We start from the raw sequence: 21750 nt of genomic DNA, 5'->3' as shown, positions 1-21750 counted from the left end.
TTCTTGTAGATATGAACAAGCTTATTTTTAAATTTATACGTAAAGGGAAGGAATGAGAAAAGCCAAGATAATTTGAAAAAGAAAAGCAAAGCTGGAGGACTCAAAGTACCTAGTTTTAAGATAACATAAAGCTACAGAAATAAAGACAGTGGGAATTAGTGAAAGGATAAGCATATAGATCAAGGAAACAGAGAGTGCAGAAATAGACTCATACAAATGTGGTCAATGATTTTTGACAGATGTGCAAAAAAGACTACATGAAGAAAGAATAATCTTTTCAACAAATGGGGCTGGAACAAATGAACATCCATGTGCAATAAAAGATACCTCAACCTACACCTCACATCATATACAAAAAATTAACACAAAATGGGTGGTAGACCTAAATTTAAAACACAAACTATAAGACTTCTAGAGGAAAACAGGGGAGGACACATTTATGACCTTGCATTAAGAAAAGATTTCTTAATTGTAACATAAAAAGCATAACAAAAAGACAAAATAATAGATTGGACTTTGTAGTAGTCTGTTTTCACATTGCTGATAAAGACACACCCAAGAGTGGGCAATTTATGAAAAAAAAGAAGTTTAATAAACTCACAGTTCCACATGGCTGGGGAGGCCCCAATCATGGCCAAAGGTGAAAGGCACGTCTCACGTGGCAGCAGACAAGAGAAGAATGAGAGCCAAGTGAAAGGGGTTTTCCCTTACAAAATCATCAGCTCTTGTAAGACTTATCCACTACCACAAGAACAGTATGGGGGAAACCGCCCCATGATTCAATTATCTCCCACTGGGTTCCTCCCACAACACAAGGGAACTATGGGAGCTACAAGTCAAGATGAGATTTGGGTGGGGACACAGCCAAACCATATCAGACTTCATCAGAATTAAAAATGTTTGCTCTCTGAACTATACTACTAAGAGAATGTGAACATAAGCCACAGACTAAGAGAAATATTTACAAATCCTATCTCTTAAAAAGGAATTGTATCCTGAATATATAAAGAACTCTCAAAACTCAACAACTTAAAAACAATGTTTTAAGTGCACAAAGGATTTTAATATAAACTTTATCAAAGAAGATACAAAGATGGCAAATAAGCACAGGAAAAGATGTGGAGCATTATTAGCCATTAGGGAATGCAAATTAAAATCCCAATGAGATACCATGACACAGAAAAGAAATTGACATGCAGGGCATAGTTGCCTGCATTTGTAGTCCCAGCTACTCGGGAGACTGAGGCAAGAGTATCTCTTGAACCCAGGAGTTCATGACCATGGCAATATAGTGAGACCCAACTCTAAAAATGAAAATAAAAACAGGCAATAAATTAACAATACCAAGTGCTGGTGAAAATATGGAGCATTAGAACATTCATAATTTGCTAGTAGAATATAAAATGGTAGAACCTTTCCAGAAACAAATTGGAAGCTTCTTACAAGGTTAAACATGCATTTACTGTATATTCAGCAATCCCGCTCCTAGGCATTTACCCTAAAGAAATAAAAAACTTATGTTCACACAATAAACTTGTACAGGAATATTAGCCAGGTATGGTGGCTTATGCCTGTAATCCCAGCACTTTGGGAGGCTGACACAGGTGATCACTTGAGGTCAAGAGTTCAAGACCAGCCTGACCAACATGGTGAAACCCTGTCTCTACTAAAAATACAAAAATTAGCAGGGCTTGGTGGCAGGTGCCTGTAATTCCAGCTTCTTGGGAGACTGAGGCAGGAGAATTGCTTGAATTCTGGAGGCAGAGTTTGCTGTGAGCTGAGATTGTGCCAGTACCCTCTAGCCTGGACAACAGAGTGAAACTCCGTCTTAAAAAAAAAAAAATCTTGTACAGGAATATTTATAGCAGCCTTCTTCTTCATTCCCAAATGTCAAATACTGGATACAACAAAATGTCCTTCAGTGAGTAAATAGATCAACAAACTAATACATCCATATAGTGGATGTGAAATAGAAAAATTGACTATTGATGCATGCAACATCATGGATAAATCTCAAAGTGATCAAGCTGAGGGAAAGGACCCAGTCTCAAAAGCTTATATAGTACATCAGTCCATTTGTAAGGCACTTCAATTTACAGATTTTATCTGGAGTGCAAGAAAGATGAGTCAAGAGTTTATCCAGTATTTTTTTGTTTTCCTCCTACCCATGAGCCAGTCTTACTCCCACTCCGGTAATTATAAACCACAAATGGCAAGAGATCAGGAGTTTGAAATCATGTAAATTGCCATTTACATGCTTATTTTTATTATCAGTTTTTAAGTTTTTATCTTGTTATTTGTGTTATTTATTATTAACTATCCTGAGCATTTGACATGAGTTTGGTGTTGAATTCTCCGAATGATTGAACAGTGTGTACCTTAGTACAGATGGAAAGCTGCGATGCGTAAGAGTTAAATGGCTTTCTCCACTTATCAATTTTATCAATAGGAAACTTATCAATTAACTGGCAAGTAGTAAAATAAGAATTCCAATTCCAGGTCCTCCTGACTGCAAAACCTGTGCACTTACTGACTATACTATAGAATCTGTCAGGGATTCATATATCCTTATCCCTACCCACATTTTGTTTCCCCCAAGTTAGTTGAGAGTCAGCACAATTGAGCCTCAAGTGTGCCAAATAGAAGGAAACACGCTGCTCCCCAAGAGGCAACAGGATGAGAGGGAAAGATCAGGATTTGAGTCAGACCAACCTGTTTTGAATCTTGGCTATATCACTTAGTAGCTGTGTCAACTTAGGGAAGTTCACTGTTCCAGTTAATTAAACAAGTAACTTACTGAGTGCCCACCATGCTCCAGGAAATGTTCTAGGATCTCAGGATATATTTGTGAATGACACAGAAAAAAATCCATGCCCTCAAGAAAATTATATTCTAGTGGGAGACATGGACAATAAATATAAAAATAAGTAAAATATATAGTACATCAGGCAGTCATAAGTACTATGAAGAAAACAGAAAGGAAAAGCAGGGAACGGTAATGAGGAGTGGAGGAGCCACACTTTTTTAAAAAGATAGTCAGAGAAGGCTTAAGGGTTGTTCATGTAGATATCTGGAGAAAGAGGAGTCCAAGCAAGGGGAATAGCCAGTGTAAAGGTCTGGTCCACACTAAGTGTGTTTGAAGAATAGCAGGGGCACCAGAGTGGCTGGAGTAGACTGAATCCGGGGGAGACCCCCAGTAAATAAAACCAGGGAGAAAATGGGGAGGCTGGAGGATAGTGTAGGTAGTGGGTCATCTTCCAGGATTTTGAAACCACCAAGAATAACAACAGCAGTAATGTTGGGAGAATGATGTAGGACAGGAACTAAAATCTCCAAGGAAGGTGAGAGAGTGACCCAGAGATCAGTGACTGACGACCCCACTTTTACTTTGGATAGGGAGCCTTTGGAGCGGGTGTACAGAGAAGTCCCAGGATCTGACTACTTTTTCTAAGTATTCCTCTGCCTGGTGGAATCAACTACACAGGACAAGGACAGAGTCGGAGAGACCAGTTGGGAGTTTCTAGGGTTAGTCCAAGCAATACATTATGATGGTTTGGACCAAGGTAGAAATAGTAAAATTGGTGAAAAGAGGTCAGGGTATGGATATATTTGGCAAGTAGAACTTGCAGGATTTGCTACCAAATTATATGTGGGTTATGAAAGGAAGGTAGCAATCAAGGATAAATTCAAGATTTTTTTTTTTTGTCTAGGACAACTGAAAGAATAGGGAATACTAAATAAGGTAGGAGACTAGATCCAGAGTTAATTTTATGAGGTTCAAAATGCCTATTAGACATCCAAGTGGAGATATAAAGTTGGTAATTGGATACGGAGAAGAAAGGTGGGTGAAAGATACACATTTTGGACTCTCCAGTGTATGGGTGGTATTGAAATTCATAACACTAGAAAACATCAATAAGGCAATCAGTGTAAATGGATAAAAGAAGAATTCCAATGGCTGGACACAGTTTGGGGAATTCCAAAAATTAAATTGTAAGGGAGATGAAAATGAATTAACAAAGAATGCAAAAAGTAGTCATTCAGAAAAAAGATAAAGACAGAAGAGTATGTTATTCTGGAAGCCAAGTGAAGAGTATGTATCAAGGAGAAGGAAGTGATCAGCCATGTTAAAGCACTTGGTAGGTCATGTAAAATGAGGACTGGGAACCAACTATTGAATTTAGCAACATGAACGTGATTTATGACCTTGACAAGAAAAGTCACAGTAGTCAGTGGAGAGGAAAGCCTTACTGAAGGGGACAAGAAAGGGTACAAGGAGGGCAAAATGGAGACATGAATGTAGACAACCCTATTAAAGAGATTTGCTATAAAATTAGACAGAAAATTAGAGTAGTCATTGAAGGGAGAAGTGGGGTCAAGAGAAATTTCTTTTTAAAACAAGAGAAACAACAGCATGTTTGTATGATGAGCAAGTAGGGAAAGGGAGAAGATGAGAATTCAGGAGAGAGAAAGGAAGATTGCCACATCCTTGAGTAGCCAAAGGAGGTTGATATCCAGCACATAAGCAGAGGAGATGGTCTTGGAGAGGAGCAGGGGCAGTTCATTCACAGCCAGAGGAGGGAACACAGAGTGCAGGAGCAGAGACACATGTAGGTGTGAACATGTGGGACTTTTCTTCTGATGACTTCTATTTCTTGATAAAATAGGAAATAAGGTCCTCATCTGAGAGGAGGAGAAGGAGATATTAGAGGACTGAGGAAAGAAGAATATATGAAATGACTATTTAGGAGAGTAGGAGAGTAAACTGCCCAAGAGCACTAAGGATGACTTGAGGCTGGAGGTAGTGAGTTTACAGCACAATAATCAGCTGTGTGTTCTCAGCCACATTCACTGTGCAGAGGCAAGAACACACTGGTAGAGAGTTAGACCCAACCAAGGTCAGGCTTTTATCCAGTGGGGACATTGGAATAAAAGAAGGACAAGAGACCATTTCATTGACCATGAAATATCAGCTCTGCAAGGAGAGAGACAGTGACATAAGGTGGGTAAAAAAAAAACAACAGTGAAAAGGAGGTACAGTCAGTGGCTGTAAGGAAGGTGGAATCAAAGGATTGCTGGAGTAGGGGTCCTAGAGGGAGTGAGCTGGACATATAGGAGGTGGTAGTTGGAGAAGGGACACTTGAAGTTGCAGTAGGGAAGGATCTGCAGTTATTGGAATAACTAAGAGAGTCAATGGCTGAGTTTGAGTTGGGAATTAGGTCATCAGAAAATGGGCTGTCAAGGAAATGAAAGGGCAGGGAATGTGAGGGTCATCTTCCAAGATAGTGAAACCATCAAGAATAACAATGCAGTCATGTTGGGAGACTGATGTGAGACAGGCTAAATATCCAAGGAAGGTGAGAGAGGGACCTAGAGATCAGTGGCAGATATAAGGAAGAGCGTAGATCTGCCTGTTACTTTATCTCTCTGGTCTCACTTTACTCATCTGGAAGTTGGGAATGGTGATCAGCCTTCCATTGTGGCGTTTTTATAAGGACTGAATGAGATAATGCAGGTAGAGCACCTGTCACCCATTAGATCTGGCAGACCTCAGTGTTCAGGAATATTTAAAATAAAATGTAAAGGGCACCTATGAAGTCTGGAGGGTGTATGTCATCTCCTTCCAATTACAGTGAGGAGTGTGTCTTGGAAGGCTAATTGAGCTCAGGTTTGGCTCAATGACTTATAATCATCACAATTCCCAAGAGATGTTCATCAATGGCCCTCTCTGCTTCCATTCATGTACCTGTCATCTTCTTCCTCGCAGGCCTGGGTTCTCTCTATCCCCTCTAGCCAACTGCAGACAGCAGAACGCTTATTGCCTTCCAGCCCAAGTGTCTAATGCAGAAGGAAAAATGCAAATTACCTGCTTTGGCTGCTCTGTTGCCTCTCCTATTGATGGCAGGCTGGCTGAAAGAGCCCAGGGAAGTGACAGTCTCTAATGAAGTGTCACCTTCTGTTCTGAACTGCACTGAACCCAGATATGTGAGGAAGCTCTGGGCAATACAGCCTGACTAGCTCCTAGCATGGGGAGCCTGGGACAAGAGCTGGATCAAGTCCTTTTCACTTTCTCTCCTATACCCACCCATGACTTCAGCTCTAGGCAGGAGTTTCCATCAAGAAATGAGGTATGTTCTAGCCAACAGGGCAGTGTCTGTTTTACTGGTAACAGGCATTAACATCCAGAGATTCCTTGTTCTCAGAAAAGGGGTAATAAAGTTACGGGGTTGGGGCCAGAAATTTAAGGAACCTGAGTTGCCACAGAGGAGATGCCAGAGTTGAATGGGTCCATGTGGTGAGGTGATTCACCTTGTCCATGTTGCTGAGCCCAGTGTACCTTGAGCCTCCTACCTCTGGCTTACCAGTGCTATGCAGAATATATTAGCCAGGAAAAGATCTGAGCAAGTTTCACTTAGCCTTGTGCAAATCTGAGGGTGGAACTCAAGCCCCTCCTCTTCCCTCACACTACTCAGAGACTTGCCTTGTTCACCACTAATTTTTCATTGTCCGCTACATAGTAGGTTCTCAGTGATGAATGAATGAATGAGTGAATGGCAGATGGGTGAGTGTTAGGGTTGGAGGAGTGTAGAGCATGGCTCTTCCAATCCTAACACTTCAGGCCAGCTCTGTGCTAGATACCAAAACCTAGAACCCCAAAAGTTTCTTACACGCCTGAGCCGAGAGGTCATTTTTCCACCCAGAATTTCTGAAACTCCCTTCTTCTACCTAAATTATATATAAAAATGAAGGACAGCTACTCTCACCTGAAAATATTTTCTTGATCTTTTCCCTTTTCCCAGCAAACAAGCAGTTACTTACCTCTTTCTCTAATGCAAAGTGACATTTTGATACAGCAACCCTGGAAGGAGATAAGAATCATTAACTCAGAAAAATGGCTGAGCTTCTGCAGTTTGCCAGGCTTCCAACTATTGGCTGAAAAATCCATGTTCTGGAAAAGCACAACCACAGTCCTCTTTACCAACTACTATCTAGCAGTCTGAGGGTTGTTGACATTGATTAACATTGAAAGTGACATTTGGCTCTTGTGTACTTTCTGAATAGACTCTTTTCAACTAAGAAACCAGCAAGGAGGCCTCTGAGGGAAAATATTTTTGGGGAGGAGAGGTATGAGGTAACCTCAAACATTCTTTGTCCAACATTTTGGATCATTATCTAGAACTTAAGCAGTTTGTTTAGGGGAAAGAGAAGTTGACATGTCACTAGGAAAGGAAGTTAGCCTCTCAAAGACATTCAGACAGGTATACCTAGGGAAAGGAAGAGAGAAATCTGGAAGCAGCTCATTAAAAATACGAAACAACAACAACAAGGTCAAGGGCTAAAAATGTTTATTCAACAGGCAGGTGATTTAAGGAGCCATGATTTGCCATACAAAAGGATTTCTAGGAAGAAAAGATCCTGTTAAAGTTAAATTACATTTGATTTTTAAATGTATAATTTACAAGCCGATTTTCTGGCACACAAAAAAGCACACCTGTGCAATTTTTTTTTCCAATTTTAGCATATTATCCATCTTTCCAGTAAAATTCCTGTGTGCAGCAGTCACCAATATAGATCAGTGGTAAATGAGCGAAGTGTTATTTACATCAGCCCTAAAAGTTCATGTCCTTATTATTCCTCCCTCAGAACTGACTCAGAATTGGGCATAGAAAAATGCCATTTTGAAAGAGCCCAGGATGGGCTGTGGCAGGCATCCACATCATTAGAGAGCAAAGTTAAAAGACAGATTTCTTGGCCCCACCACCAGGTATTCTGACTCAGTAAGTCTAGGGTGGGACCTGGGAATCTGCAACTTTAGCACGCAGCTAAGGTGACTCTGATGCAGGTGGCCCATGGACCACACCTTCACACATGCTGACCTAGAGAAAATGTCCTTCAGGTCACGTGTCAAGAGAAATTGCCCCGCCTTCTGCACCCAGCACATCCTGCTGCGTTCCATAAGTGCATCCAATGTGCTCCATAAGGTCACATGTGGTGAGCAGTTGCTGATCGACACTGCTATGCTGGGCAAGCCAATCTGCGGGCCTCCATGTGACATACCGCTGATTTCTCTCTATTCTGTTAGAACGATTACAGGAAGTTATCTATGCAATGCAAGGATTTTGTAGTGGGCGTGCTGGACCTGTGCCGAGACACAGAAGAGGTGGAAGCAATTTTAAACGGTGATGTGAACTTCCAAGTCTGGTCCGACCACCACCGTCCAAGTCTGAGCCGGATCAAACTCGCCATTAAATATGAAGTCAAGAAGGTAAGCTCCCCCATCTCTCCTGGTCTTCCCATCTCACCTCTCTTCTCGGGGCTGCTGGCCTTGCTTTTTGCTCATGTCTATTTTATGTTCCCACAGGGTGACCATGATGACACCCAGATTCTCTTTAGACAGGGAGCTAGCTGTCAGCTTCACAGGGCTGCTAGGATCCCCTCCACCATCCCTTCCCACCTCAGCCCCCAGCCCACCAGGAGAGAGAGCAGAAGCATGAGTCAGTTCCTGAGCAGGCCTTGAGCCTGGACAGCAGAAGACATCTTCAGCCTCAACCCACTGGCAGGGACAATGTCACCGCGAGGGCTCCTATCAGTTAGCAACACAGTTCCCAAGTCTTCTCGAGAAACATAAAACTCAGATCTTTCAAAAGCATTTATTGAGCTTCCTCTGTGTGCCTGAGGACTAGTTGTGTAGAAAATGTATTAATGTAAAGAGCTTATGGGATCAACAGCCCTGGGAGGCTTATAGAAGAATTGCACTCCAAAGGCATATGAAAGCCCTAAGGAAGCTCAAGTAGACTTTCCCAAAAGTAAACTCATGCCACCTCCTCAATAGACATCCAAGTGTCTTTAATGGCTGTGGTCACCAGTAGCCCTCAGACCTGTAGTGGCTACTCAGATTAAGATTATAAGGAGCAAAAGTAAATTATGTTCCCACTTTGGATCTACTCTGGATGCTTTAGAATCTGCTCTTTTATTAGATGACATTACTCATCCTGATGAAAATTAAAGCATTCCAGAGATCCACATGTTTAAATATCAATGTGCTTTCCACATAAGCAAAGGAGCTGTTTGGTCTTTGAGGGGTTTTAATGTTTTAAGCTTTTTCACCTGATCAAAACTGAATGGTATTTTTAAAGCCCCCAGACTGGCCTCTGGGTATTCCTTCTGTTTCCTGATTATCTTAATTTGTGTGTGTCTTAATTTGTGCCTTCAACAACCATATATATATCTGTGAAATTTATCCAGGGAGAGTTTCCAAGTTTGATAAAATCTTCCTGCCCTTTTACTTTGATATTATAATAATCACAAATTTTAAGAAAAACAACTTTGCCTAAGACTCTGAGCTCAAAGATGAAATTGATGACTCATGGGAAAGGTGGCCTTTGAGATTAATATTAGAAAGCACAGTGTTGTTGGAAGTTGGGAGAATCAGGCTGCAGTTTCAAGTACAGTACAATACTATTTACTCAGCTCAGGAAAACTCACCTTTTAGCTTAAACCAAGAGCTCGCTGGGGCTTTTCACCAAAGTACGCAGTCACTCCCTGAAGCTGCTGAGATATCCTTTCCCTTGGGGTTCAAACAAACCCTGCTGTGGAGGCTGTCAGGCAGTGGTAAAAATGAGCTGGAGTTCCCAGAACTACAAACATTTTCTTCCTTCCTGAAGCCAGATTATCCTCCTGCCTCCCAGCTCATGGTGAAGATGGAAGTTGTCTAAAAACCACACAAAAGAAGATGCTTGGCATTTGCAGATTTATATTCACAGTTTGGGCTAATTATGCACAACTTCAACAGTCCATGGCATGTGGGCATTCACCATTTTTCTGAAACATAAATTCAAATCTCCTAGCAAAACTGACATGGAGGCTGGAGTTACTCAGTTAGTGCAGAAGTCTGGCCCCCACCTGATAACTATATGTCCTCTTTTGTCAATTACCAAGTTCAAAATGGCCCTGGGGATGAATGAGAAGGAAGAAATGAAGCCCTCCATGAACATGATAGTTTGGATCAGAATTAAAATGTTTCATGAGGGAAATGATTGGCTCCAGTGGTATTTGCCAATTAAGGGAGTCATAAGGTCTCAGGAAATCAACATGAATGTCAAGTGTCTGCTGTAATCCATAGGTAGGAAGATGATAAATGACCTGCATAAAATGTCAACCTGCTCATTTCTAAGACCTTCAAGGGATACATTTTCTCAAACCTTGTATGCCATCATGCGACAGCAGACAGACTCATAGCTCTCCTTGACATTTATTCTTCATGAATTACCAGGAAACTAACCAATATTTAAAAGTCTTATTAATATTACAATGGGCTTCCATTTTTAATTTATGAATTTTAGCATACTTGCATGAGCACAATCTATCCCTGAGTATTCAAGTTATGAAATAACTAGCAGCAAGACCTACTTAAATGCACTGCCCTTTACAACTTGATAGACAGATAGATAGATAGATAGATAGATAGATAGATAGATAGATAGACAGACATCTCCTGAGGCTTCAGGCTTGAATATAAAACTATAAAACATTTCCAAGATTCTGCCCACATGGCATAAAATCAACCCATTAATTCAGCGACTTAAGAAAACAAGTTGGTCTTAGCAGTTCCATGGGCTGCTAATAAGTATTACCTTAAAAAAAAGATTTTGTGCTCAGATAAATTTGGAAACCTTTAGTTAAACAGTCAAACAGCTTTTGTTTTTGTTTTCTGTTTTTCTTAAAGATATTACAGAGCCTTCAATATGCATCACGCAGTGGCTTATGCCTGTAATGCCAACACTATGAGAAGCTGAGACAGGAGGATTGCTTGATGCCAAGAGTTTGAGACCAGCCTGGGGGACATAGCAAGACCCTGTCTCTATTAAAAAAAAAAAAAAAAAAAAAAAAGAATCACTACTCTAATAGATAAAGGATACAATATGTATTACATGACCACAGGCTTCTTCTCATGGTGAAACTAGTTTTTCATGTATCAGTCTTCGGGAAACTAATCTATAATCAGCCTCTATGTCTATGAAATGCCAGGATTTGAATGAAGGTGGTGCTGCTCTGTGGCTGGTACTGCACTCTGGATCATGTCTCTCATATGAATGTTTGATTATCTTCAGGCACCACCCTAATGTCTGGACCTCTGGCTGGCTGAGTCACAGCACCAGCCTCCATTAGATGAAGATAAGTCACCCACCATGGTTCAAGGGAGTACCTGTTAAAGGGAAGGAATCCTGAACTGGGTTTCTGTTGACCAGGTTTCTAGCCTGATTCTCCTAACCCTGTGGTCTTGGGCAAGTCATTGAAGCTCTCTGAGTTTCATTCCCCATTTGCAGAATGGACATATGAGCTTTTGCTTCACAGAGGTTTTTTTTTGTGTGTGTGTGTGAACTTCCAAATGAACTGATATGAGAGGAAATGCTCTAGAAACTATAAAGTTCTCTGCAGCTCCAAAAGGAAGCATCATTGCTGTCATTCAGTGATGACTCCCTTTCTTGGGACTCTAGGGTTCTTCTAATTCCCTAGCTGGTCCTTTGTTATCTCCCCAGAGAATGCTAGAAATGTCTCCCTGGGAAAAGACATCATTCATAAAGCCTAAAATTCCTTCCAAAATACCAAAGGCGTTATGAGGACATGGTTTTACCCCCGTGACTTCTGCCTTAAGAGGGCGCTCAGCCTCCCCAGTAACCCAAGTGGGTGTGTCTTCGAAATGTCAAGCAGGGTTTCTGGGAAGCAGAATTGGAGATGTAGCTGAGAGGTGCCTATTGAAGTCAGTCCCAGGTCCAAACACTTATTAATGTGGTCACTTGAGCAAATTACTCAGCCTTGCCTCTGTCTCACTTTCCTCATCAGGAAAGTTGGAATAATAATGCCTATGTCATAGGTTATAATGAAAATTAAATGGGATAAAGCATTTGTGCCTCAAATATCTCCAGGCTTCAGTAGCCGATGGGTATAAATGAGGCAGTATTAACACACACATTGCTCACAGTCAATGCCTACATTACTTTAGGACATTTCTCTTACCCACCTCAGTGCATCCCAGCCCCTCTAGGCCACAGTCCCTGAAGAAGCCAAGCTTGCCTCATGAAAAATCAGGGATACGACTCTTCCCCATATTGAGTCACACCTAAGATCAGAAGGACTCTGCTTATGCTCTGCAGCTAAAGAAAACCACCCCTCCAGCATCGGCTTGCAGCCTCTCTACATAAACTGGCCTTGGCCTTCCCCTGCAGAGCCAAACACCTTGCAATCTTCTCTAACTCTGTCTCTGTCCTCTGGGAATCATGCCTAACTATCCTTCTTAAAGGCCTTTTCCTTCCACTGCATATCAACTCTAAACACATGCTGAGGAAACTTCCAGCCCCAACAACTGGGAACCAACCCAACCAGCCTCTGAATCCCAGTTTAGGCCCAGCTGGACTCAGGCTGCAGTTATGAAGGGACCCCAGTGTCTGCCATGTGGTCAGTGCTTAGTGACAGGGAACAGAGACCCAGACAGAGTTGTTGGCACTCTACTCAACTTGTCTAACAGAAGACACACTCTCATCCATCCCTCTCTCTCCTCTAGATTGCTTCCTCATCTCTGGGCTTACAGGGATGATCTTTTCCCTTCTTTCCCCTACACCATTCCCTCCTCCTTCCTGACCCCACTCTGCCTTAATGAGGATCAGGTGGGATCTCCCAGTCACTGCAAGAAAACTTTGTGCATATCAGTCCTCTAGGAGAGTGGGACAAAGAGACCCAGAGAGTCCGGTTTTGCATGAGAGAGGCCTTAACTCTACCTATAAAGGAGATGGAGCATCTTTTGGACACTACTAAGCAAAGGCCTGCTACTGGGGGAAAAAAGAAAAATGTGTGAATATTGTTTTCCAAAATATATTACTTCATGGCAGAAAGCACATATATTATCAGGCAGGCATGGCTGTATCACCAGCAAGGGTGATTAGTTCCATCTGACAAATTGTGTTAACCACCACCTATGAGGTCTAGAGACACTGAGCTCGGCCTTCCAAGGACCCAAGCAGAATAAAACACAGTCATACCTTCAAAGAGTTACCAGTCTAGTGAGTGAAATGGGACAGGTGTCTCATAACTGTAATAGCAGCAGCCTTTGCAGTGGGGTGGGGGAAGTCTCTTAAGTACTTCACCAGCTGAGCAAAGTAGCGTTCACACCTGTGACCTCTTTCAGATGTGCAGGTGGTCCCAGTTCTAGCATCTTGGGATGCAGCTTGGTTTGGGGGCCTCTGCTCTTGGTGCCAGCCATCTTTCCTTCCAACTGAGGAGATCTCCACCCTCCTCAAGAGCCAGCTCCACTCCTCCTGAGCCTTCCAGACCCTGAAATGTTGAGGTGACTTTTCCTGGCTCTGCCAGGCTCCCTGGGTTATTCCTGGCTCAGAAAGCTAGTCTCAAGTACAATAAAGACCTGGGACAGGACCATGGGAAGGGAACAAAGTGCAGAGGGTGGAGAGGACCCACTCGCTCTCCCTCACTTACATAGTTCCCTTTTCCTTCACACTGTTGTATTTTTAAAAAAAATTCCCCTATGATTTTTATTCATTCACTCACTGAAAAGTTCATGTTTGCTCTTAAAGCTAAAAAATGAGGAAAGTGAACAAAACCCTGGAACTTCAGAGGTTCCCTCTGAGGTGGGGAGGGCATTTCTGATAGAAAGGACATGTTCAAAGCATGTTTGAAAGCCCTGTGGTGAGAAGAGACATGGTGTATAAGAGGAACTGAAAGAGGGTGAACGGGCCAAGCTGGGCCTTGGGAGGACTGGGTGTGACTGAGTCTGTAAGGATGCAGGCAGGGGACAGACCATGTGAGCCTGGTAGATCTCCCTAAGGATTTTAATCTTTTTATTATTTTTCTAAAGAACAATGGGGAGCCATTGAAGGACCTTAATCAGGAGTGGTTGTAAAGATTAGGATAGATGGAGAGACAGCTCTTCCTCTGAAAAAGCTGGAAAGGAAACAGGAGGGGTGAAGATGGAGCAAGTTTTTTGTGTGAAAGGGACAGGATATTAGCCAAGATAGGCTGTTACATTGTGTTAACAAACAAAACTAAAGTCATAGTGGCTTTTAACAAAAGTAAGTTTATTTATTGCTCATCTTATTTCCATTTGGAACTGAATTCCCTCAGGAATCCCGGCTGATAGAAGAACCACCCTCTTAAATGTTTCCTGCATGCCAGAGGGTCACTCGGCTTTGGGAAATTGCACTCCAGCAATTGTGTGCTTTCACCTGGATGTGTCACACATTGTTTCTGCTCGCCACTTATAGTGAAGAGTTAGTCATGCCTCCCACCCCTTCACAAGAAGGACCAGAAAGCATAATCCCGGCGCTATTTGGCAGCTAGCACTAATGATTACCACAGGAGAAAAGTTGAGGGAATTCGTATTGATAGCTTCAACTTCTCTGTCAACAGGAAAAAGAATCACCCTCTGAGGTAGAAGCAGCCTGAAGAAAGTAAAAAAATGGGAAAAATTATGTGGGAGATGGGAGAGGGAGCTGAGCAGTAGGTCTGATAGTCCTGCCAAGACTGGGGATTGAAATTCTTTGGCAATAGACTGCATTTTTAATAAAAGTGAAAGATCTCCACAAATGATGGTAACACAGAAAGTCAGTGTCCTCCATAAACCTCAGTTCCCTGCCATCAACTTCAAGATTCTTTCATAGACATGGGCTGGGAGCACACAAAATGTGCCCACAGGGCACAGCACTTGGAAAGTTACCCTCAGAGCAGAATGCCAAGGAGAAAAGGGCAGGCTTAGAGAGGAGGGGATGGGGGACCATTTCAACCCACATTGCCCCTAGCTCTACAGTTGGGCCAGCACCTCTTACTCTATCAGAAGTCCCTTGCCTCCTTCTATTCCAAAAATGACCACCTTGTGCACATTTTACAGTCATGCCATGAATGGGCCCATTTTTCTACCTGGAAAAACTCCTAGCAGATGAAACTATTAATAGAACTTGTCAGGTAGCAGTATAGTATTATGGCTGGGAGCCTGACTGCTCAAGTCCTCCGCCTGCTGATATGGGACATAAAATAAGTTTCTCAGTCTGCTGGCCTGCAGGGAGCTCACAGACACAGTGGACACTGCTCCAATCCTAAAGGGCCTTCTGGCCTAAATATGTGCTCAGAGAGAGAACAATGCCAGCCGTAGCTGCACAACTGGCTGACATCCTCTCCCTAGTGCAGTGACCATGGGTAGGAACACTCAAGAGAGGGCAGATGCCCTCTGCTGGGCTCTGTTTCATTTCCTCTGTCTGCACAAAGCACAGGCAGGGCCAGTGAGCAAAGGGGACCTGGGGACATCAGGGCTTTCTAGAGGATGTCTGAGAGGCCAGTCAGACACTCACATGCCCTGAGCAGACATTCTCCTACTGTGTTTTCCTGCTGAGGCATCGTTTTAACAGATGCTCAGACTTAAGAAGATCAGAGTTGTCACAGACACAGTCTGGCTGGTCAGGCACTACCCCAAACTGCACTGCAGGATGCCTGGTAGTTGGCAAACACTGTTGGAATCCATTGGTGTCAAAAGCATCAATCATCTTCCTCTTTGGGAATTCCTCTAAGCACTTCCGTGGATCTCGCCTGGCCACATGCCACAAAAGTGATCAATATCCATTAATCTCCTGGCTCAGAAGGGCTTTTACATGAGGAAGTTTTGTTTTCTCAAGAAGCAAATCTTCCGAAGAGAAAGAAGAATTCCAGCATGTATATATGTAAATATGGATTGTGATCCCTTTTCTGCCTGGAAAAACTCCCAGGAGAAGGAAAATAGAACTTGTGGGGCAGCAGTATAGTGTCGTGTCCAGGAGCCCGACTGTGCGTGTTCAAGTCCCAAGTTCTTCACTTGCTAGTCATCTGGTTTAGACAAGTTATTTGTCTTCTGGGCCTTGATTTTCTCATCCATAAAATACAAACAAATTACAGTGTCTAATAAATAATAGTTAATGTTTAGAACACATGCAATGTACCTAGAACATGGTAGGTGCATAACAAAGTAGCCAATGGAAACTGTTTGCCATACTGATTTCTAAGCAGAATTACACTTAAGGCTAAGTCAACATTTCTCAAGCCCGACACCTTAACACTTTGGGCCAGAGAGTTCCTTGCTGTGAGGACTCCCCCGTGCATTATAGGCTGTTTAGCAGCATACCTGGACTCTATCCAGTAGCACCCTACCCCCAGCTTGCGTTAACCAAAAACGTCTCCAGACACTGTCTCTAATGTCCTTGGAGGAAGGGGGAGGGGGAGAAATAATTCCCTGTTGAGAACCTCTTGGCTGTTTTCAGGATCCAGGCTATAACCTCTTAACTGTCAGCCCCTGAATGCAAGGATTATAGTTATCCAAGGATGTGTTGTATTGCTCTAGACCAGGGGTTCCAAAACTTAACTGATTAATGAAGCCACTTGGGTGCTTTGCATAAAACAAACCAAAAAAAGCACCAGTGCCTCAGCCTCAGAAAGACAAATACCACATGATCTCACTTATCTATGGAATCTAGTAAAGTTGAACTCATGGAAGTAGAGAGTAGAATCACAGTTACCAGGGGCTGAGGAGGTGGGGAGGGAGGGAATGGGGAGTTGTCAATCAAAGAGTACAAAGTTTCAGAGAGACAGAAGGAATAGATTTTGAGATTTATTGCACAACATGGTAACTATAATAAATAAAAATGTATTATATATTTCAAAATAAGTAAGAAAGTAAATTTTCATGTCTCACCATAGAAATGATAGGTAAGCAAGGTGATAAATATGTTAATTAATTTGATTTAATCATAACATATTGTATACATATATCAAAACATCCATTGTACCCCATAAATACATACAACTATTTTCATGCATGTCCGTGTGAAGAGACCACCAAACAGGCTTTGTGTGAGCAACATGGCTGTTTATTTCACCTGGGTGCAGGCAGGCTGAATCCGAAAAGAGAGTCAGCGAAGGGTGGTGGATTATCATTAGTTCTTATAGGTTTTGGGATAGGCGGTGAAGTTAAGAACAATGTTTTGCGGGCAGGGGTGGATCTCACAAAGTACATTCTCAAGGGTGGGGAGAATTACAAAGAAACTTCTTAAGGGTGGGGGAGATTACAAAGCACCCTCTTAAGGGTGGGGGAGATTACAAAGTACATTGATCAGTTAGGGTGGGGCAGAAACAAATCACAATGGTGGAATGTCATCAGTTAATATTATTTTTACCTCTTTTGTGGATCTTCAGTTACTTCAGGCCATCTGGATGTATATGTGCAAGTCACAGGGGATGCGATGGCTTGGCTTGGGTTCAGAGGCCTGACATTCCTGCTTTCTTATATTAATAAGAAAAATAAAATAGTGTTGAAGTCTTGGGGTGGCAAAAATTTTTGGGGGGTGGTATGGAGAGAGAATGGGCGATGTTTCTCAGGGCTGCTTCAAGCGGGATTAGGTGGCATGGGCAACTAAAGTGGGAGAGATTAAGCTGAATGAAGATTTTGTGGTAAAGGGTGATATTGTGGGGTTGTTAGAAGAAAAATTTGTCTTGAAGAATTATTGGTGATGGCCTGGATATGGTTTTGTATGAATTGAAAAACTAAATGGAAAAGGTCTAAGAATTAGGAGGACCTAGGACATATGATTAGAGAGTGCCTAAGGAGATTCAGCATAGTCCTGCCAGCAAAGATTATTTATTTACTTCAAGAGTTAAGAGTGGCAGGTTGGGGATAGCACCAGGAGATATCAGCTGTGATGGCTTGGAGAAACAGTGTAAACCGGCAGTGTAAACAAGAGCAGGGCATGTATAAGTAGTTGAGAATGGAGAATAGGAGTATGACTAGACAGAAAATAGTAGGGATGACAAGTTTTTTTGGGGCACAGTCTAAGTTGGTCCGGTGTCTGGAATGAGACTGGGGCCTAATAAAAAGGAGCTCAAACGGGCTGTACCTTGTAGCATTCCAAGGACAGGTCTGACTTCTGAGAAGGGAAAGTGGTAAAAGTATTGTCCAGTCCTTTTTAAGTTGGTGGCTGTGCTTGGTGAGGTGTGTTTTTAAAAGACCTTTAGTCTGTTCTACATTTCTTGAAGATGGAGGACTGTAAGGGATATAAAGGTTTCACGGAATACTAAGAGCCTGAAAAACTGCTTGGCTGATTTGACTAATAAAGGCTGGTCTGTTATCAGACTGTATAGAGGTGGGAAGGCTAAACTGAGGAATTATGTCTGACAGAAGGGAAGAAATGACTGCCGTGGCCTTCTCAGACCCTGTAGGAAAGGCCTTTACTTATTCAGTGAAAGTGTCTATTTAGACTAAGAGGTATTTTAGTTTGCTGAGTTGGGGCATGTTGAGTAAAGCTAATTTGCCAGTCCTGGGTGGGGGAAAATCCTCGAGCTTGATGTGTAGGGAAGGGAGGGGGCCTGAATAATCCCTGAGGAGTAGTAGAATAGCAGATGGAACACTGAGAAGTTATTTCCTTGAGGATAGATTTCCACAATGGAAAGGAAATGAGAGGTTCTGAGAGGTGGGCTAGTGGCTTGTACTATAGCATAGCCTGCCTTTGCTGGTGTGTGGCGATTAGGCCTGGTGGAACTGCCATCAATAAATCAAGCGTGATCAGGGTGAGGAACAGGAAAGAAGGAAATATGGGGAAATGGGGTGAATATCAGGTGGATCAGAGAGATACAGTCATGGGGGTCAGGTGTGGTATCAGGAATAATATGGGAAGCCAGATTGAAGTCCGGGCCAAGAACAATGGTAATTGTGGGACTTAACAAAGAGTGAGTACAGCTGAAGGAGCCGGGGAGCAGAAAGTATATGCGTCAGGTATGAGGAAGAAAACAGATTTTGGAAGTTATGAGAAATGTAGAGAGTGAGTTGAGCATAGTTTGTGATTTTTAGGGCCTCTAAAAGTATTAAAGCAGCGGCAGCTGCTGTACGCAGACATGAGGGCTAGGCTAAAACAGTAAGGTCAAGTTGTTTGGACAGAAAGGCTACAGGGTACGGTCCTGGCTCTTGTGTAAGAATTCTGACTACACTAACCATGCCTAGGAAGGAAAGGAGTTGTTGTTTTGTAAGGGATTGAGGTTTGGAAGGTTAATTGGACATGATTAGCAGGGAGAGCACGTGTGTTTTTATGAGAATTATGCCGAGATAGGTAACAGATGAGGATGAAATTTGGGCTTGACTGAAGTAATGGGGGCTGTCTGTGAAGCCTTGCAGCAGTATAGCCCAGGTAATTTGCTGAGCCTAATGGGTGTCAGGGTCAGTCTAAGTGAAAGCAAAGAGAGGCTGGGATGAAGGGTGCAAAGGAATAGTAAAGAAAGCATGTTTGAGATCCAGAACAGAATAATGGGTAGTAGAGGGAGGTATTGAGGATAGCAGAGTATATGGGTTTGGCACCACGGGGTGGACAGGCAAAACAATTTGGTTGATAAGGCGCAGATTCTGAACTAACTTGTAAGCCTTATCTCGTTTTAGGACAGGTAAAATGGGGGAATGGTAAGGAGAGTTTATAGGCTTTAGAAGGTCATGCTGTAGCAGGCGAGTGATAACAGGCTTTAATCCTTTTAAAGAGTGCTGTGGGATGGGATCTTGGCATTGAGCGGGGTAAGGGTGATTAGGTTTTAATGAGATGGTAAGGGGTGCATGATCGGTCCCCAAGGAGGGAGTAGAGGTATCTTATACTTGTGGGCTAAGGTGAGGGGATACAAGAGGAGGACACAAAGGATGCTTTGGATTGGGAAGAAGGGCAGCAATGAGATGCAGCTGTAGTCCAGGAATAGTCAGGGAAGCAGATAATTTAGTTAAAGTGTCTCAGCCTAATAAGGGAACTGGGCAGGTGGGGATAACTAAAAAGGAGTGCTTAAAAGAGTATTGTCTAAGTTGGCACCAGAGTTGGGGAGTTTTAAGAGGTTTAGGAGCCTGGACGTCAATACCCACAGCAGTTATGGAGGCAAGGGAAACAGGCTCTTGAAAAGAAGGTAACGTGGCATGGGTAGCCTCCGTATTGACTAAGAAGGGGACGGACTTACCCTCCACTGTGAGAGTTACCCGAAGCTCGGCATCCGTGATGGTCTAGGGGGCTTCCGAGGCGATCTGGCAGTGTCAGTCTTCAGCCGCTAAGCCGAGAAGATCTGGGAAGGAGTCAGAGAGCCTTGGGCCAGAGTTCCAGGGGCTCTGGAAGTGGCTACCAGGTGAGTTGAACAGTCTGATTTTCAGTGGGGTCCCACACAGATGGGACACGGCTTAGGAGGAATCCCGGGCTGTGGGCATTCCTTGGCTCGGTGGCCAGATTTTTGGCACTTGTAGCAAGCTCCTGGGGGAGGAGGTTCTGGAGGAATGCCTGGCCACTGCAGTTCAGGCATTTGGAATTTTTTGTGTGCTGAAGTTGTGGCTGGGGTTTGTCTCACAGTGGAGGCAAGGAATTGCAACTCAGAAATACATTGCTACTTGGCTGCCTCTACTCTATTATTGTACACCTTGAAGGTGAGGTTAACTAAGTCCTGTTGTGGGGTTTGAGGGCCGGAATTTAATTTTTGGAGTTTTATTTAATGTCAGGAGCAGATTGGGTAATAAAATGTATTTTGAGAATAAGACGGCCTTTTGACCTTTTAGGGTCTAGGGCTGTAAAGTGTCTCAGGGTTGCTGCCAAATGAGCCATGAACTGGGCTGAATTTTTATATTTGATGAAAAAGAGCCTAGAAGCTATCTGATTTGGGATAAAGAAAAAGGAGCATTAACCTTGACTATGCCTTTAGCTCCAGCCACCTTTTCGAGTAAATTGCTGGGCAGGTGGGGGAGGGCTAGTCACGGAATGAAACTGTAAGCCAGACCGGGTGTGAGGAGGGGAGGTGATAAAAGGATTATAGGGTGGAGGAGCGGAGGCTGAGGAAGAATTAGGACCTAGCTCGGCCTGGCTAGGAGGGGAGAGGTCAGATAGGTCTGTAGAAAGGGAAGATTAGAAAGACTCAGTGACGCTTGGGGTTGGGACTGAGGGGACATGTGGGAGGGAAAGAAGGAAGATTTGGGATGAGTTTCATTGGGCACAGAGACTAGGAAGGGACTGATGTGTAAAAGAATGCCTGGACGTCAGGCACCTCAGACCATTTGCCCATTTTACGAAAAGAATTATTTAGTTCTTGTAGGATGGAAACATTGAAAGTGCCATTTTCCAGCTATTTGGAACTACTGTCGAGTTTGTTTTGGTGTCAAGCAGCATTGCAGAAGAAAATAAGATGCTTAGATTTTAGGTCAGGTGAGAGTTGAAGAGGTTTTAAGTTCTTAAGAACACAGGCTAAGGGAGAAGAAGGAGGAATGGAGGGTGCAAGGTTGCCCATAGTGAAGGAGGCCAGCCCAGAGAAAAGAGAGCATAGAGACATGGAGGGAAGGGGTTCAGGGGTTCTTACCCTCCAGAAAAGTGGGAAAGGGGTCGGGGCATGGAAATAAGGGATTGGGGGTTCTTGTCCCCTAGAAAAGCGGGACTTGCCGCTAAGGGTGAAGAAGGGGTTGAGGGATACTTGCCCCTCCCCCAGAAAAGCGGGACTTGCCCCTAAGGGTGAAGAAGGGATTGAGGGGTACTTTCCCCTCCCCCAGAAAAGTGGGACTTGCCGCTAAGGGTGAAGGACCAAGGCAGGCGTCCCTGCGTGGTCTGACACCTTTGAAATGGTGAATAATCAGAGAGGTGTCCCTGCAATGATTAAACACCAAGGGAAGGCTGCCTTCCCAGTCCGTGACTGGTGCAGGAGTTTTGGGTCCACAGATAAAACATGTCTCCTTTG

General features: G+C 43.2%; 1 protein-coding gene and 1 long non-coding RNA gene across 5 annotated transcripts in view, besides 1 other annotated feature; one reads left to right on the top strand and one right to left on the bottom strand.

Annotated features, from left to right (window-relative positions):
* Window positions 1-21750, top strand: part of TRPC7 (transient receptor potential cation channel subfamily C member 7) — a 152801-nt gene that overhangs the window by 41683 nt on the left and 89368 nt on the right. For 2 of the 4 annotated variants that reach the window (NM_001376901.1, NM_020389.3), the window contains exon 3: window positions 8084-8266. The exons of the other annotated variants lie outside the window; for them this stretch is intronic. In NM_001376901.1, the coding sequence (NP_001363830.1) occupies window positions 8084-8266 (183 nt within the window). The remainder of the gene's footprint in view (window positions 1-8083; window positions 8267-21750) is intronic. 4 annotated transcript variants of the gene reach the window in all.
* TRPC7-AS2 (TRPC7 antisense RNA 2) overlaps window positions 7763-21750 on the bottom strand; it is an 89446-nt gene continuing 75458 nt past the window's right edge. The window contains exons 2-4 of the long non-coding RNA NR_133682.1: window positions 20005-20106; window positions 9487-9712; window positions 7763-8140 (exon numbers count right to left, since the gene is read on the bottom strand). This is a non-coding gene — a long non-coding RNA (TRPC7 antisense RNA 2). The remainder of the gene's footprint in view (window positions 8141-9486; window positions 9713-20004; window positions 20107-21750) is intronic.
* Window positions 13587-13676: an enhancer, noted in NCBI's record as "active region_23180". NCBI's record gives its function as "activates an Ori minimal core promoter by ATAC-STARR-seq in GM12878 lymphoblastoid cells {active_cell/tissue: GM12878}" and the evidence as "EXISTENCE:reporter gene assay evidence [ECO:0000049][PMID:35858748]".

This window comes from Homo sapiens, chromosome 5 (genome assembly GCF_000001405.40).
Source record: "Homo sapiens chromosome 5, GRCh38.p14 Primary Assembly".
Lineage (NCBI taxonomy): Eukaryota > Metazoa > Chordata > Mammalia > Primates > Hominidae > Homo > Homo sapiens.
This window is presented reverse-complemented; position numbering and strand designations above follow the sequence as displayed.